General features: G+C 43.3%; 1 annotated feature.

Annotated features, from left to right (window-relative positions):
• Positions 5461 to 5962: an enhancer, noted in NCBI's record as "NANOG hESC enhancer chr7:153367335-153367836 (GRCh37/hg19 assembly coordinates)". NCBI's record gives its function as "activates a minimal SCP1, AML or CMV promoter by ChIP-STARR-seq in naive H9 embryonic stem cells {active_cell/tissue: H9 hESC(naive)}" and the evidence as "EXISTENCE:reporter gene assay evidence [ECO:0000049][PMID:30033119]".

The raw sequence follows: 16766 nt of genomic DNA on the forward strand, positions 1-16766 counted from the left end.
AGAGGGTACAGTGTGGGCAGAATACATATAGTCTGATAAACCATAATAAAGACTTGCAGGTAGGATGTGGTGGCTTCTACCTGTAATCCCAGCACTTTGGGAGGCTGAGGCGGGTGGATCACCTGATGTTAGGAGATCAAGACCAGCCTGACCAACATGGTGAAACCCCGTCTTTATTAAAAATACAAATATTAGCTGGGCATGGTGGTAGGCACCTTTAATCTCAGCTACTCTGGAGGCTGAGGCAGGAGAATTGTCTGAACCCAGGAGGTGGAGGTTGCAGTGAGCCGAGATCGTGCCATTGCACTGCAGCCTGGATGACATAGCAAGACTCTGTCTCAAAACAGACAAACAAACAAACAAAAACACTTGGGCTTTTGCTCTCAGCCAGATAGGAAGCTACCTGTGGTTCTGACTCGTGTTTATACAAGTTCATTCGCAGTGTTATAAAGAAGATGCTGTGAGGTACTAAGAAAGGAAACAAGGAGAGAATATAAAGGGTGGTTTCAATATGAGATAATAGGAGAGAATGAAGGTTTAATCTGGGAAGGAAGCAGTGATGGAGGAGAAGCTGTCTGACTTTGGATAATATTTATAATGTAGAATCAGAATTTGCTGCTGCATTGGACATAGGCTGTAAGAGAAAGGGAGGAGTAAAAAATGACTCTAGCGTGTTTGCCCTGAACAGCTAGAAGGATAGAGTTGTCATTTACCAAGAGGAACGTGAAATAAGGAATGAGTTGTTCTGTTTTGGGAGGGGAGGGGGGATCAGCTGTTGAGGTTTATACATAAATTAGAGACGCCCACTAGATTGCCAAGTAGAGATGCTGGTGATGCTGAGAGCTCAGTTGGGTAAACAAGTCACAAATGACAGGGGCAGATCAGGATTGGAGAGAACCAGAAGCAGCAGCTACAGAAGGAGAAAGAAAAGAAAAGGCGAAGTAACGTGTACACAGGGACACAGCGTGTGGAATGACAGACACTGGAGGCTCGGAAGGAGCCGGGTGAGAGGGAGATGGATGACGAAATATTACTTAATGGGTACAGTGTTCATTACTTGGGTGATGACTATACTAAAAGCTCAGGCTTCACCATTATTCCATATATTCATGTAACAAAATTACACTTATGCCCCTTACATTTATACAAATAAAAAGATAGTAATCTCAGCTTCAAACGAAGGGTTTCAAGAAAGAGACAGTGATCACATGATGCTTTGTGATATGCAGATGTTGGTTAAAATGAGGACTAGATTAACCCCTGAGTCTGACAATAGAAGGCATGATGTCTCTGGCAAGAGCAGTGTCAGGTGTGTGGTGGACAGGTTGGGGCAAATTAAAGGGAAAATGAAAGGGAAAGGAGTGGGAACCAAGAGCAGGAGACAGATGTTTCAGGGTTCCCCTCTTAAAGGAGACCACAGAAATGGGACAGTAGCTAGAAGGTAGTGTGGGTGTCAGAAGGACTTTTTCCCTTAGCATAGGAGACTTTAGAGCATGCTTATATGCTGGTGGAAATGATCTAACATATTAAATAAATAGATGATGCAGGACAGTAAAATGACAATTCCTGAAGCAATATACTTAGGCACATGTCTCTAACAAATGGAACAACCTCGTTATTTGGAGATATGGAGTTATTCAATCTTAGGAAAATTATAAATTTAGATAATTGGCTAGCGATGTTTTTTAGCAAAAGGGCCAAATTAGCCAATTAAGAATGTGTACAAGCTGCTTTTCTCCTTCAAAATGAAAATAGCATATTGAGCTGGAAATGAAAAATGCAGGCTTTAATAACTTAATTTAAATATTTTATTGATTAGGAAAACATGAATGAGAAAATGCCTTTTTTAAAACAATTACATTGCTAATGTCTGAGTATCTAAGCACATGGAAGTATCATTCTAATATTTTATAACTTTGAATGTAAATGCATTTTGAGTGTTTCAGAGCATGGCAGGTGTGTGCTGGGACAGGCATAGGCATAGGAACTTGCTCACAGACCATCTAAGATCAAAGGCCCCAGCTGCTGCAACCTGAAATCCATTTTTGAGGTCATGCTTCCTGGAGGTTGCTTTTGGACAATGACTGAACATGCAGGGATACAGAGGCAGGCCCATTCCTGGGACACATGGGGCTTTGATGGGTGTCTCCGGTGAGTATTTCCTCATGGTCTGGCCAAACCTTCCATCAACTGCACTGTGGTCTGGAACGCGTTCCCTCTTCCTTTCTTCCTCTTCTCACCTGGGGGCCTGACTTGCATTGAGGTTGTTGCCTCTCCCAGCTTCTTCTAGCTCCCTCCCTATTTTATGTCATCGGTGTTTCCTCTAATAAAATATTTACAACATTATTCACATCTGTGCATCTGCCTCTTGGAGGATTCAGACTAACGTAAGTGGTACCAGGAGTGGCCTAGGAAGGTAAGACAGGACTTGGGAGGGGCTTCCCCCACTGACAGCAGGTAAAGAGTGCCATCGAGGTTTGTGGATGGGACATGGATAGCCCTGGCACAAGATTGCAGACCAAGTTCTAAACATGTAATTGATGGTGAACCGGGAAAATATCCTGGTGGAGAGAAATGCTGTGGCAGGTGCAGGGATGCAGGCATTTGAAAAATACGGGGATGAGATGGAAGAGTGCCTGTAAGACAGAAGAGTTGGCAGGATGCTGGTAAGTTGTACTGACTTGCAGAAGGATAATAAGAGACTGAGGCTATTAACAAGAAGTTAATGGCTCAGTGAAAATCCAGAGAACCTCTGTGGTCATTTACCAAGAGAAGGACAGGCACAAGTAAACAGCAGACTGGAGATTGTAGGAGTCTCTAAAGCTGTGAGGCATAGACAGGGCAGGTTGCTTATGGAAGGTTAGAACTCTGGTGGGAGAAATCTGGAGTCCAGTAACCTGGGGCAGGGCTATCTGGGTGGATGCTGGTGATGTTGACCCTGCAACTGCTCAAGGATCTGCTGGGCTTGCAGAGGTGGCCCACAGCCCCCTACCAAGTGCCAACCCTCCTGCTATGCTGAGAGGGCTGCAGAAACTCCTCTCACTTGAGTCAATGGGAGTCTCACTCAGCAAGTTCCCTGAGTCCTCTGCAAGCTGCCAAGACAACAGACAGGTCAAATACTAGTACAGCTTAGCTGGAGACATTCTGTGCCTGATAAGAGAAAAATGGACTCTGTTCTTACAGGTTTGCAAAATGTAGTAGTCATATGCCCCTAGGATTGGATTTGATGATGGATGAGCAAAAGGACCAGAATATATATAATCCCTCAAATCAATGAATTATTATTTATGCATATGTATGGACATAAGTAATATATATGCATATATATTCATATATATACATATATATGCATAAATAATAATTCACTGATTTGAAGGTACTTTATCAGGACACAGGACTTAACAAGGACCCCAAGAGATGGGGCAAATTGATGCTGGGGTGGCTCTTAGAAGTCTGGAGATAATGATGGCTAGCTCTTGGGGAAGTAGAAATGACACAGCTATTGTGGAGTTGGCAGAGAAAGGAACAAAGAGATTGAGGGAGGAGGTCATGCCAAAATGCATGGCTATGTGAAACCAGAAGGTTCACTGGAAGAGTGTGTTCCAAGAGAGGGCTTAGATGACTCAGTGTCACCCAAACCCATCAGGGATGTGATGATGAGAGGGGCACAGCCTCCTCAGGAAATTTGTTGGTGGCTCTCCTTTGCAGGCAGGCCAGGAATGAATGTAGAAGTGGCAGGCACAGGGCTGGGCTCCTTGACATTGATGGGGTGATGGGGTCCTGAAGTAATAGTGTCCCAGGGGTGGTGCTTAACACTGGAAGGCAGGAAGCAGAAAATACTGCAATGACCAGCAAGACTGATCCACTGGAGATTGGGGGCTTCCCATTCCCTCCACTCTGGACTCTGCAAGGTGTAAGTCTTGGTCCCCAAATGGAGCACAGACTTACCAGCAGCCATAGCAAGAGTCCCATTGAATTGCAAGTGATGGCTGCCTCTAGGGCATTTGGGGCTCCTTGTGCCCAGAGACCAGCAGACAGGAAGTCACCACAGTGATCATAAGTGACCCTAACTAGTAGAAGTATGTGGGACTGTTTTTACAAAATGCAGACAGAGAGAAACAGAAGAGGAACCCAGGTGACACTTTGGCTCCTCCCCATATGTCCTTGTACCATTGTGACAATGGATGGACATGGGATGTGATCCTGGACTGGGAAGGACAAAACTATGAGGTATTAGGGACCCTCAAAATGAAACTTTGGATTACAAAATCCAGACAAAGAAAGCCAACAATATGGGCTGAGGTGATATCTGAGGGTGAGGATAATTCATAGACTCAGGAGGCCGGGGCAGGAACGAAGAATGTCATGTGGCCCTGAGATCCACTGCAACTGAGGTTCCTCCCACTCATCTCCTTCTGAGTTTCTCAGGAAGAAAAGCCCACGGGAAACAGAGGAACTGTTTCTCAAAGCTGCACAGAGAAGTAAATCAGCTCAGTGCAAGAGGTGGATTGCGGTGGCCATCAGAACGCACCTGCCAGACCTCCAGCTGCAGGGAGTGTAACTGACCCGGGACTTAAGTTGCTTGATCTGAGTTCCATGTGGCATCATACAGAGGACACCCCTGTCCCACAGGCTGCTCCAACCCAGTGACTGACTATGGTAGGTTTACTAAGGCTGGACCATTCCTGGGAGGCACGGGGTTCCCCCAATGATGACTCAGCCCAAGGACTCCCCGAGGGCCTTGCACAGTGGTCCTGGACAACTTGCACCACCCTTTCTTTCCTCTTTCCCTCACCTGTGATCAGGCTTGCATTGAGGTCTGATGGCTCCCCGAGGGTCACTCACAGGAGTTTCCACTGTGAAAATCCTTGTGTGCTTAATCTTGTCTCAGCAGCAGTTTCTCAGAGGGCCCAAACTCACACAGGCAGCACTCGTTTAACTCAGCGTGACTTGCGCTATAAAGTGAAGAAAAGGCAGCTTCAGCAACTCATCCAGGATCATAAAAGGACTTAGCTACAGAGTTGGGGCTAGTTTGCTCTAGTCATGGCAACATGTACTGCCCACCATATCGTGCCAAGTACGATGCCAGGCTGTGGGAATGTAGAGATTAACTGTAATTTTCCTTCTTCTCCAAAGGAGACGACTCTCTCCCGGGGTTGTAGCATGGCTTCTCTGTTTAGTATGGCCAGAAGGGATGAGCCGTGGAGCGCAGGTTAAGTCTAATGCCCTCAGATCCAGAGAAGAATTAGCTACTCCAGCATTCCGATTGTGTGTGCTATCCTTAGTTGGACAGAGGTTCTGCTCAGTGCCCAGCAGACCCAGCCAGGTCTCAGCGATGAATGCAGCACCCGCAGGAACTGCACTCTTGGCAATTTCCAGTGGCTGTGCTGTCACAGCACACAGCAGTTCCCACAAGATCCCTCTCCTTGCCCATAGCCGGGATGGACACCCTTCTCTGTATGAGCCATGTCCTGATTAGGATTGGAGGCTAGTGGAGGACGGTGCAGCAACAATGTGAGAAGATGCTGCCATCTGCCTTTTACCACCCTTTTATCTTCCTATCACACCTGCCATCCTTTGGCATATCTAGGGAAGATCCAGCTTTCTTTAGGCACAAAGAAAATTCAAGGGAATCAGTACTTTGAACTTGAGTGGTGCTCAGATCTGTATATCAATGTGTGATGATGGATGGAATCTTATCTGCATTCATACCTATGAATAGGTCTGCATTCACACCTATGAATAGTTCTGCATGCATACCTATGAATAGTTCTGCATGCATACCTATGAATAGGTCTGCATGCATACCTATGCATTAGTTGGAGACAAATTGGTAACAATGGCATAATTGCATTATACTAGCAGAGAATAGCAAAAGCTTAATTAACAGGAATGTCCAGAACTCTCAGATAACTTGCATCAGTTATCCAAGGCATCTGTAACGAAATACTACAGATGTAGCTAAAACAAGATAAATTTATTTTTCACCAGTTCAAGATCAGGGTTGGTCTCTCCTGAGGCCCCTCTCTTTGGCTTAAAGTTGCCATCTTCTTCTTGTGTCCTTACATGGCCTTTTCTCTGTGTGTCTGTGCCCTGATCTCCTCTTCTTATAAGGACACCAGTCCTATTGGATTAGGATCAACCCTAATTAAAATATTTTAACTTAGTAATCTCTCTGAAGACCCTCTCTCCAAATACAGTCACATTCTGAAGTATTGGAGGTTAGGACTTCAACATTAAAATTTTGAGGGCACACAGTTCTGTCCATCATACCTTTTTTTGTCATTGACTTCTAGGAGAAATAAGCCAAATTTATTTGTTTTATTTTGTTTTTAAGTGTACATCAAAAATTTAATTTTTAAAAACTGTTACAATATATATTATTGTGTCAAGACAAAATAAACTCAGTATTTCACCCTACATGGCTTGCAAAGTTTCTGTAACCCACCTGAACCTGAAAGAAGATTATGGTGGCATGTCCTGCAGATCAGCTTTTGTGAGCAGTGGACGAATGAGCGGCACACGCTTTCCTGAGTAGAGGGCATCTTGCTATATCTAGGGAGTGTCCCACTATATCTTGATAAAGAGCAGCTCCTTGAGAAACAGCCACTTAGGGAGTGGGGTGGTGATATGGTATAGGTCTGTGTCCCCACCCAAATCTCACCTTGAATTTAATAATCCCCACCTGTCAAGGGCAGGACCAGGTGGAGATAATTGAATCATGGGGGATAGTTTCTCCCACGCCATTCTCCTGTTAGTGAATTTCACGAGATTGGATGGTTTTATAAGGGGGTTCCCCCTTCATTCGGGACTCATTCTCTCTCCTGCTGCCCCGTGAAGAGTTGCCTTCCATCATGATTGTAAGTCTCCTGAGGTTTCCCTAGCCATGTGGAACTGTGAGTCAACTGAACCTCTTTTCTTCAATCATTACCCACTCTTGAGTCTGTCTTTATTAGTGGCGTGAAAACCGACTAATACGGGTGGGGAGAGGATGCAGCCCCTTCCCCACATGCCCTGCAGCTGCCAGATCCCCTTCTACACGTTCTTGTTCCATGTTTGTGCCATAGTCACAAATGTCCTAAACGGCAGCCATCAGTCTCCACCCAACTCCATGTCTATAAAACGTGGAGGGCATTTGTTGAGTTATTAAATCAGGAAAACATACTTTAAAAATTCAAGGTTTTTAACAACATAAGCCGTTTTGTTTTTTCACAAAGTCAGGGCCACATCATAGCATTTCAAGTCTTATAATAAATCTGTGTCCTGTGTTTAGTGCTCAGCTATATTCTCTAGAGAATTAGCCCATCTCTAAGCCATAGCAGTAGGATGGTCATATGATTTAGGTAAGAAAATTAGGCCACATTGTAGAAAGCAGATTTTTCTCAAGGACAACTAAGATATTGGCTCTGAAACTGGCTGAAAGCAAGCCTGGTACCTGCTTGGTGATGGTATCACAGGTGTTTGCATATGTCCAAACCCATCAAGTTTTACGCATTAAATATGTGCAGTTATTTGCATACCAATTGTACCTCAAAAACGCCGCTGAAAAAGAAAATTTAAAATATGGTTCGGGAGGACACACAGAAAAACACACACAGACAAACACACAGTTACACACAGAGACACAAACACAGTTACACAGAGACACACACACAGGCACACACACCTAGCATATTTTGTATAATAATCTGTTTCTAACACCTTTGCAAATAAATCACAATATAAATACTTTGGAGGCACCAGAAGATGTAGGCTGCTGCCAGGTGACTCTGAAATCGAACGCTGCTCCACCTGGATGATGAGATGGACTTCTTTGAGATGCTTTTCTGGGAAGGGTTCTCAAGGTAGGGGGGCCCTAGGTTGGGGGGTTTCTCCATGGAAAACTGGCTCCCAGTTCTGGACTTCCTAGCTGGTCCTGACTCCTTCATTTAACCTCTGTCAGGAAACAGAGACAGCCTATCTGGAAACGAAGTTTCTACATGGTGATTTTTTTTTTTTTTTTTTTTTTTTGAGACGGAGTCTCGTTCTGTCACCCAGGCTAGAGTGCAGCAGCGTGATCTCGGCTCACTGCAAGCTCCGCCTCCTGGGTTCACACCATTCTCCTGCCTCAGCCTCCCAAGTAGCTGGGACTACAGGTGCCCGCCACCATGCCCCAGCTAATTTTTTTGTATTTTTAGTAGAGACGGAGTTTCACCGTGTTAGCCAGGATGGTCTTGATCTCCTGACCTCGTGATCCGCCTGCCTCAGCCTCCCGAAGTGCTGGGATTACAGGCGTGAGCCACCGCAACTGGCCCTACATGCTGATGCTTTTCAAGTCTTACCTTTGGGAAAGAAATGGAAACCATTTTCATTATGTCTTGGCCAAGGTACGAATACAGTGGTTTGGATTTTGTGGTTAAAAAAAAAGTGAAGACAGAATCAAACTGGAGAGGAGGAGGAAAGAAACAAAAAGGAATGGAAAAGGATGTAACGTGTCTTGCATTTTAAACTGCAGGGACAGCCTTAGTCGGTTTCCAAAATTAGACCCCAGTGACTGCCTGTGGTTTGATGACATTTTTTTCAATCTCCATGGGTCATAAGAGTTCAAGAAGGTTTCGATACATTAATGAATGTCACAGAAGACTCTAAAGTCCATAGTGGACATGGGCCAGCCCCGTGAGGCTCGGCCCCTGGTTTTCTATCTTTGACTATAGCACTAAGGACAACAATAATAATAAAAAAAGACACAATCAACTTTCTTGTTTTTAAAAACTTATGTAAGAAATTTCTTCTCATTTGTGAAGAGACCTTTGAATGACATTGTTGACAGCTGATGTGATACCTCGATTCTTATCTTCTTGGTTTAAAAGAATTTAAACAAGAGACACACAGCAAAGGAGGTGTAGCATAGAGTAATTTAGTTCAAAAGAAAAAGAATATTCTGAAAGTTAGATGCAGAAGAGACAGGATGTCTTGAATGAGGATTCAGGGCTGGCTGCCTGTGAGGATGAGACAGCAGAGGCTGGCTCTAGGGAGACTCCCTTTACAGAAGTCTTACCTCATTCTTCCTAAGTGGGTGGGAAAGGGCATTGCCAGGAAGCATGTTCTGAGTGGTCTTCTGGGTGCACATACACAGTAGCTGTACACACTTTTTCATATGTCACATGTCTCATCAGCATCTTTTTTTTTTTTTTTTTGAGATGGAGTTTTGCTCTAATTGCCCATGCTAGACTGTAATGGCACGATCTGGCTCTCTGCAACCTCTGCCTCCCAGATTCAAGCAATTCTCCTGCCTCAGCCTCCGAAGTAGCTGAGATTACAGGCATGCACCACCACGTCCAGCTAATTTTGTATTTTTGGTAGAGACTAGGTTTCACCATGTTGGCCGGGCTGGTCTCGAACTCCTGACCTCAGGTGATCCACCCACCCAAAGTGCTGGGATTACAGGTGTGACACTGCGCCTGGCCTCATTAGCGTCTTAAATCTCCAAACGGGGGTGTGTTTTTTGCTATTATAATGATCAAAGGGTCTATTTGAGGACAGATAAAATCAAAGTGCACCTGCTCTCCAGAGGGGGCAGTCCTTACTGAAGATAGCTTCCCTTGAATGAGCTCAATTACAATGCGAATGCTGAGGCTTACTGTGTTAATTGTAGGGTCACCACGATTGCTATGTCCCGAAAACACGGTCACTTCCCTGATACCTATCCTGCTTCAACATCAGAGAGACTTTTGGGAGATGCTTGGCGTGTCCCCTCTGCCACTGTTCCTCTCGGGCTCCCTGGGCTTCTCAGGCTCCGTGAGTTTCCGTGTTCTTCCCTAATGTCCAGAAGCCTCATGCAGAACGTCACCCACAGCTGTGCCTCCTTGGTAGGATTCGGTTTCCAGACACCTTCTCTTCCTAATGTCACATTAAACCTCTGAGAAACACACAGAACACCACTGGCTAGATGCCCAAACTGGGAATTTCAGCAAACTAAAACTTGGATAGCAAGGAGAATCCACATGGTCATCCATAATTAGAATACTGGGGATGCAACAATGACAAGGACTAGTTTATCACACAGCATTTACCCCACGCCAGGCACGGGGCTGCGGACTGCGTATTTACCATCCTCTAACCCACAGAAGCCTGGCTGAGGTAGGGATCGTGGTTATTTGTTTTTCACCGATGGAGGGGACTGAGACATAATTCAATACCGAAGTGAATATTCTGTCTCAATCATGTACTTCAAACATGTTTCACCAGGGAGATATCTCCTCATTAGAGAGACCTGAAAGCGAGCTAAATGAAGAGATTAAATGCATCTTCCTGGAAGGGGAAGGAAAAGCCCTCCTCTTGTCCCTGATCAGAAGTTCTCTGTTAGATGGCTGCTGCAAGCTGTTTAAATGATTCACGTAAGAATTGCCATGAATGATGTGAAATTCAAGTGCATGTATTATCTGGGGAAATAACACTTCAAAAGAGACCACAAAAGACTATTTCATTATGTGACTGTTGGTATGCATTTTAGGCCTTGGCCAGAGCTAGTTCTGAATACAATCTTTATTCACTCCTGAATCATACCCCAGACCCCCTGTTCACACAGCAACAGCTTTGGAAAAGAGCCTGGGACGCCAGAGGATCCAGGGGAGAGTACAAAGGCACCATGGATATTCTTTCAAAACCTGACTCAGGAATCCCATTCCCCCTCTCACCCACCCACTCAGCAAACTGAAGGGAGCTTTTCAGATATTTCCACTGCATTCGGATTTCTCTCCCCTTTCATTAGAATTGAGAAAATGGAAGCCAAATTGCAAAGGGATGCAGGCATGTTTGACGCAAAGGCATAATTTAGGTTTCAAAATAACTTTAAGAAGGTCACAGGAAAAGACTTTGGTTCCAGCAAGGGCAATCTGAGAATTAGTAAGCTCTCACAAATAATCACTCAATTTGCCTAGTTTAAGTATGATTAAGTTAAATGACAAGAAACTAACAAATGCCGCTGGGGTTCTGCAATTGCCAGGTGATTCATATGAGTTAGTAGGACCTAATAGCTGGTTGCAAGTCTATGTCAGATAAAAAAAGAATGACTTTGCTTTTCATCTAGAGCAGTAGTCTACAAACATCATTAATAGTGTGCTCCCACAGTAAGAAATGCTTGAGCGTATAGCCTTCATTCATGTTTGCACATGTGTTGAAAAAAATGTATACGTATGTTCCTGTATGTGAAACAGCTGGTGACATAAATTCTGACGAATACTCTCTGGGCTTGAATCCCAGTTCAGCCACTTATTTGTTGTAGGCCTTGGTGGTTCACTAACCTAATCATGCTTTAGTTTCCTCATCTATAAAATGAGAATGATAACTATTAGTACACTAATAGTTGTTATGAGAATTAAACTACTTAATACATATAAATCACTTTGAGCAGTGCCTGGCATATAATGGGTTCTATAGAATGTTAGCAGTTATTGTAGCTGTATTAATATATAAAATTGATATATTATAATTAACTATATATAATTATATATGATATTATAATCATTAAATGTAATATAATCTATATAATCATAATTAATATATAACATAGATGATATATGCTAATATAGTTTCAATCATTGCTAACATTCTGTAGCATTTGTTATATGCCACTTCTCCAAGTGAGATATATGTGTATATTTTATATATATATAAAATATATGTATATTTTAAGATATTATATATAAATTCTATATTTTATATATAAAATTCTATATTATATATATCCATCCCCTCTGTGGTGGAAAAGGTTTCATGTAATCAATCTTTCACCAGGTGAATGACTCAATGGTCCTCCTGGGGAAACTTGGCATGTAATAGGTGCAGTGTTGGTCTCTGCCGTTGACAAGAGTAGACAAGTCAGCCTTCATAAGGGGAAGACTATATTGTTGAGCTTTGCATAGGCTTCATCCCTGCTACTGTAAACATTTTATCAATGGGCCCATTGGGCAATAAGTATATTATACATATGTTTTATATATAAAATATATATATTTTACTACATACAAAAACAGAGGTTTTGAAAGGATGAGATAAACCTATACATAACTTCTGATATTTTTATCTAGCACCCCAATGGATGGCTTAAGAGCCCATTAGGGTGTATACATTCTAGTCTAGATATCAGGGACCGGCAATCATTTTCTCTAAAGGGTCGGATAGTAAATATTTCAGCTTTGCAGGCTATAACAGTCTCTGTAGCAAATACTCAATTCTAGTATTGTAGTACAAGAGCAGCCATAGACGATTTCAAAATGAATGTGCTTGGGTGTGTGCCAATAAAACTGTGTTTATAAAAAAACAGATAAAGAGTATATATACATTCAGGTGACTTTGCAAAGAATTAAGGAAGTTGAATCTAGCAGATAATCCCAAGGATTGACTAAGCTCAATTTTCCCACTCATGTCCCCAGCAGTGCCTGGGGAAGAGCTCTTCTCTGGACTTGGCTTCAAAGTTCAAGCATCCCTTCACCACAGCGCTCGCCTTAGAGGCTGCTAAGACAGAAACCCTTGACCTTGTTCTCCATCAGAGCATCAAAGAGCCATCATTCGGACTCGAAAAATACCAGCCTTCCTTCATGTATTCTGTGACAATGATTACTTCCTTTCCTTGCACTCCTGTACTCACTTCACTTATCCAACAGTAAGACTGTTGGGTTTCGGTTAGACTAGTTAGAAAGTGAGCTGAGGAGCACATTAGTTATTAAAATGTTAGGAAGCTTAAAACAAAACAAAAAAACAAACAAAAAACAGAAAAAGAGACAGATCTGGCCCTTGGATAGTTTGCCCACTCCCACCCTGGAGGAAAGAATGAGGGCAAATGGGTAAGAATTACAGAGAGCCGGACCCAGCTCTCCATGAGAAAGAACACTCCAGCATTGTTAGCTGTCTCTCATTAGCAAGCTTCCCAGCACTGGGATTATTTAAGCAGAAGCTGGAGACTTACCCCCATGGATAATTCTGCAGCAATTCTGAGTTTTGTAGGTGAAACTAGACATACTTTACAGATCTTTCTAAATCTAAGATTTAATTATTGTTATCCTAAGTAGTGGTGAATGTAGGTCATCATATTTGTTCTTGGAGGTCTGGAAGTGAAATATAAAATCATTACTGTGTCTGAGAAAGTAAAGAAGAAATCAGAGCATCAGGAACAAAGTATAAGATTGAGAAAAGAAATTCACAATAAATAAACGTACCATTTCTTAAAAGATACATTAGAGTGTTTGCATAAGCAGGTGATACTAGTAAGTATATATGGCTTTTCACGATATTTTCTATAAAATGAAATAGGAGGTAATTTTAACCTATAGCAAAATTCTAACTTATAATCAGATGTTAAAGTTGCAGTTTTCAATATCAATTTGGGATCCATACATGATCCCAAAATTAATTTTGAGTTCAGAATTTTCACTGACAGCAGCAAAATGCTGTAAGTGTCTTATTGGGTATAATAAGTAAAGTAAGAAAATGTGCTCCCAATTTCACACCTTGGTTTCCAGTCCATGCATTCTGTCTTTTGGGAGGAGAGAATTATGTAAGAGTCTCATTCAAAAGTTACGCTGAATTCTGGAAGACAGAAGCCCATCTTTTTAGGATGTTGTCTTCCGCATCCTTAACTGAGTCTTCAGCAAGCCATTCCACCTGTCAGCTAGGCCAGCTGCTTCTGGAGGATAGACTAGGTGGCAAGACAAGTTAATGCCATGAGCTAAGCCCATTATTATACTTCTGCTGTGAAATGGGTTCCTGGAGCAGAAGCAGTGCTGTGCAAAATAGCATCACAGTGGTGAGCACTTACGGGAGCCCAAAGTTGATGGTCCTGGCAAAGCATTCCAGGAAGGAGAGGCCGACCTATATCACAGTATATGTCTAGTGCAGTGAGTACAAGTATCCATCCCCTCTGTGGTGGAAGAGGTTCCATGTAATCGATCTTTCACCAGGTGACTGACTCAATGGTCCTCCTGGGGAAAGTTGGCCTGTAAGAGGTGCAGTGTTGGTCTCTGCCGTTGACAAGAGTAGACAGGTCAGCCTTCATAAGGGGAAGACTATGTTGTTGAGCTTTGCATAGGCTCCATCCCTGCTACTGTAAATATTTTATCAATGGGTCCATTGGGCAAGAAGTGGGGTTGCTGGAGAGAGAGGCTGACTGATGTTTACAGAGTGTCTCATTTTGTATACCTGATTATGAAGAGCCTCCCCCTCTGCGGTCCATGCCTGTGAGTGAACATTCACATGCCTCGCCAGCATCTTCATGGCCTGTGCCTGTTCTTAAAGCTTATTCTATATTCCTCTCTCCCAGCCTTCCTTTTCACTAACCTTCCAAGTCCCATCTCTTCCAAATCCCTGACTGTCAAGTCAAACCAGCATCAGTCACCCATGCATCTGTGTAGATCTCTACTTCTGGCCCTCTGTCATGGCAAAGATAAAAGTGGACAATCTGACACATGAAGTTCTTCCCCTTGGGGGGATTGTTTTCCTCACCATTGTCATTCAGGTTTGCCCCTGAGGGCCCTGTAATGGGGCAGCTGTCTAGGTTCAGGTGACATCAGCACGTAATGCAGGCCTGTCTGTAAGCTAGGCTGGGTTTTTTGCCCTAGATCAATAGGCGATAAAGGATGCCACAGGAGGGCTTGGCCATGACTGAAGGGAAGTCAGCAATGCTGAAGGAGCTGGTGCTAGAGGAATCTAAAACTCTTGCTCAGGTAATGTATTTATCTATGCTGGGTCTGTCCAAGTCAGCTCTTATTCACCATTCCCCCTTGATAAGGGATTACTGCTGTGCATACCCAACCTTGGCTTATGGGTCACATAGCACCAATTGGTGATGGGAAATTTAGGCTTAATGTCCCACAGTTAGGCATTCAGTCTCTATCCATGGCCCTGAGAATGTCTGTCTTAAGAAGGATATATATTTCCAGAAGTGGGAACAGATTTCATCCTAACCCTGGAGGTTCTCCCTGTGACTCTCCTATTGGTGCTTGCCAGTAACACCATACAACATCCCTATGTTCCACAGACACCTCAGGGAAACACCAGATCATGAGCCCATGTGAGGGAGCAGCTCACACTGCAGCCTGGGCATATGACAGAGACTTCACTCACTCTCCTCACCAGGCAAAACTAGCAGATTTATAGGAGACTGTGCAAATAGGCCTAAGTAACACACTCAACTGTGAAAAATACTGCCTTTAAAATAAAAGAGGTCTGCAAAGAGCCATGTTTTTGTTCTTCTCTGGTGATAGGTGCAAGGAGGAGCAGCAACTGGTCTTTCTACTTAGAGGTCATTGAGACCTCAGAAACATCACCGAGGTGGCAGGCCCCTGGTTTGATATGGGACGTATCACCCGTGCTCCAGGTCAAATATGTCATATGGAAGTACACGCTGCTCATCAGATCTGAGCTGGCTAATTTGTGGACTAGTGTGATGTTTCGTGAAATGTAAAGTCAATTAAGATTTTAGAAACTGCATGTCACCAGAAAGCAGGATAATTGGTACTGCCCTAAGCAAGATTGTGAAGTTGTATTATTGGCCCTGACAGATGAAAGCAAACTGCTTCTGGTTTGTCCTTCTAAAATAATATGAAGGAAAGAAAACATTCTGCATTCTGAATGCCAGGCACTGTGTTGACTTCCTTCAGGAAAGATGCTACCTCTGAAACAGCACCTGGAATTGGAATCACCACCTAATTGTGTTTATGATAATCTGCAGAAACTCCCCATGATTCATCCAACTGCTGTACAGGCTGAACAGGTGAGTTAAATGGAGGTGTGATAGGGATCACCACACTGCATCTTTGATGGTAACACTCAACCCAGCAATCCCCCCTGCAGGAATTGCTTCTGGTGTACTAGCTTGGTAGGGAAAGAAAATTCCAGTGTCTTCTACTTAGTGTTTCCTATAATGGGCCTCACCCTTTTGGCTAGAGAACTAATGTGGAGACTCTGACAGTTGCCAGATATGTCTGTCCCAGTTACATGTTCAGGAACTGGGGAAATAACCATACGTGTGTGTGTGGATTATCTGGGCCCACTGCAGGTTGAATTTCAGCTAATCCTCCATCTCTCACCTGACCACCATAAGTACCACTCTGACTGGTGAACCACTGTAGTTATTCAGAATTCTGCCAACCATGCGGAAGCTCAAAATGCTGCTCTCATAAACAGCTTGCAAGCTGGAGGACCACCTCCTATCAATATTTTACTTGCTGTCTTTCAAACTGACATTAGCAAGACTCTAGCATATAAAGCAACAGCAGGATAGAACAACCAAAAGGGATCTTAGTCCTTCACATATTACCCTTTAATTTTTTTCGAAAAAAAAAATGGATACTTCCTTTTGGCTCTTCAAGTCACCTCTTGGTACAAAAAAAAAAAAAAAAAAACAACCCTCTTTCTTTGAGTCTTAATTTTGTAGTTTAGGACGGGGGAAAAAGAATAGATCGATTTACCTGAAAATAAATGTCCTTTGGCATCCTGTCCCACCTATAATCCTATCTTTTGCAGATATAGAAGCAAAAATTGCTGTTAGTGTTCCACCAGAGGTCTGTTGAGAGGTCATGATGGTTTCCCGAGACCGGCCAGTACATCACGGGGTATGTTCTCATCAGGCCGTGAGCTTGATGGTCCCTTCTGCACAACAGGCTGTGAATGCCATTCCGGTTTCCACAGGTAATTCTAAATGAAGACCCAAGGCTTCAACAGTGACATTTCAATTTGTCCTCTCTTGTCCACCTTTCTCTCAATAGGTGTCTGAGATGTGCATATATTCA

The sequence above is a fragment of the Homo sapiens genome, chromosome 7, assembly GCF_000001405.40.
Source record: "Homo sapiens chromosome 7, GRCh38.p14 Primary Assembly".
Taxonomy (NCBI): domain Eukaryota; kingdom Metazoa; phylum Chordata; class Mammalia; order Primates; family Hominidae; genus Homo; species Homo sapiens.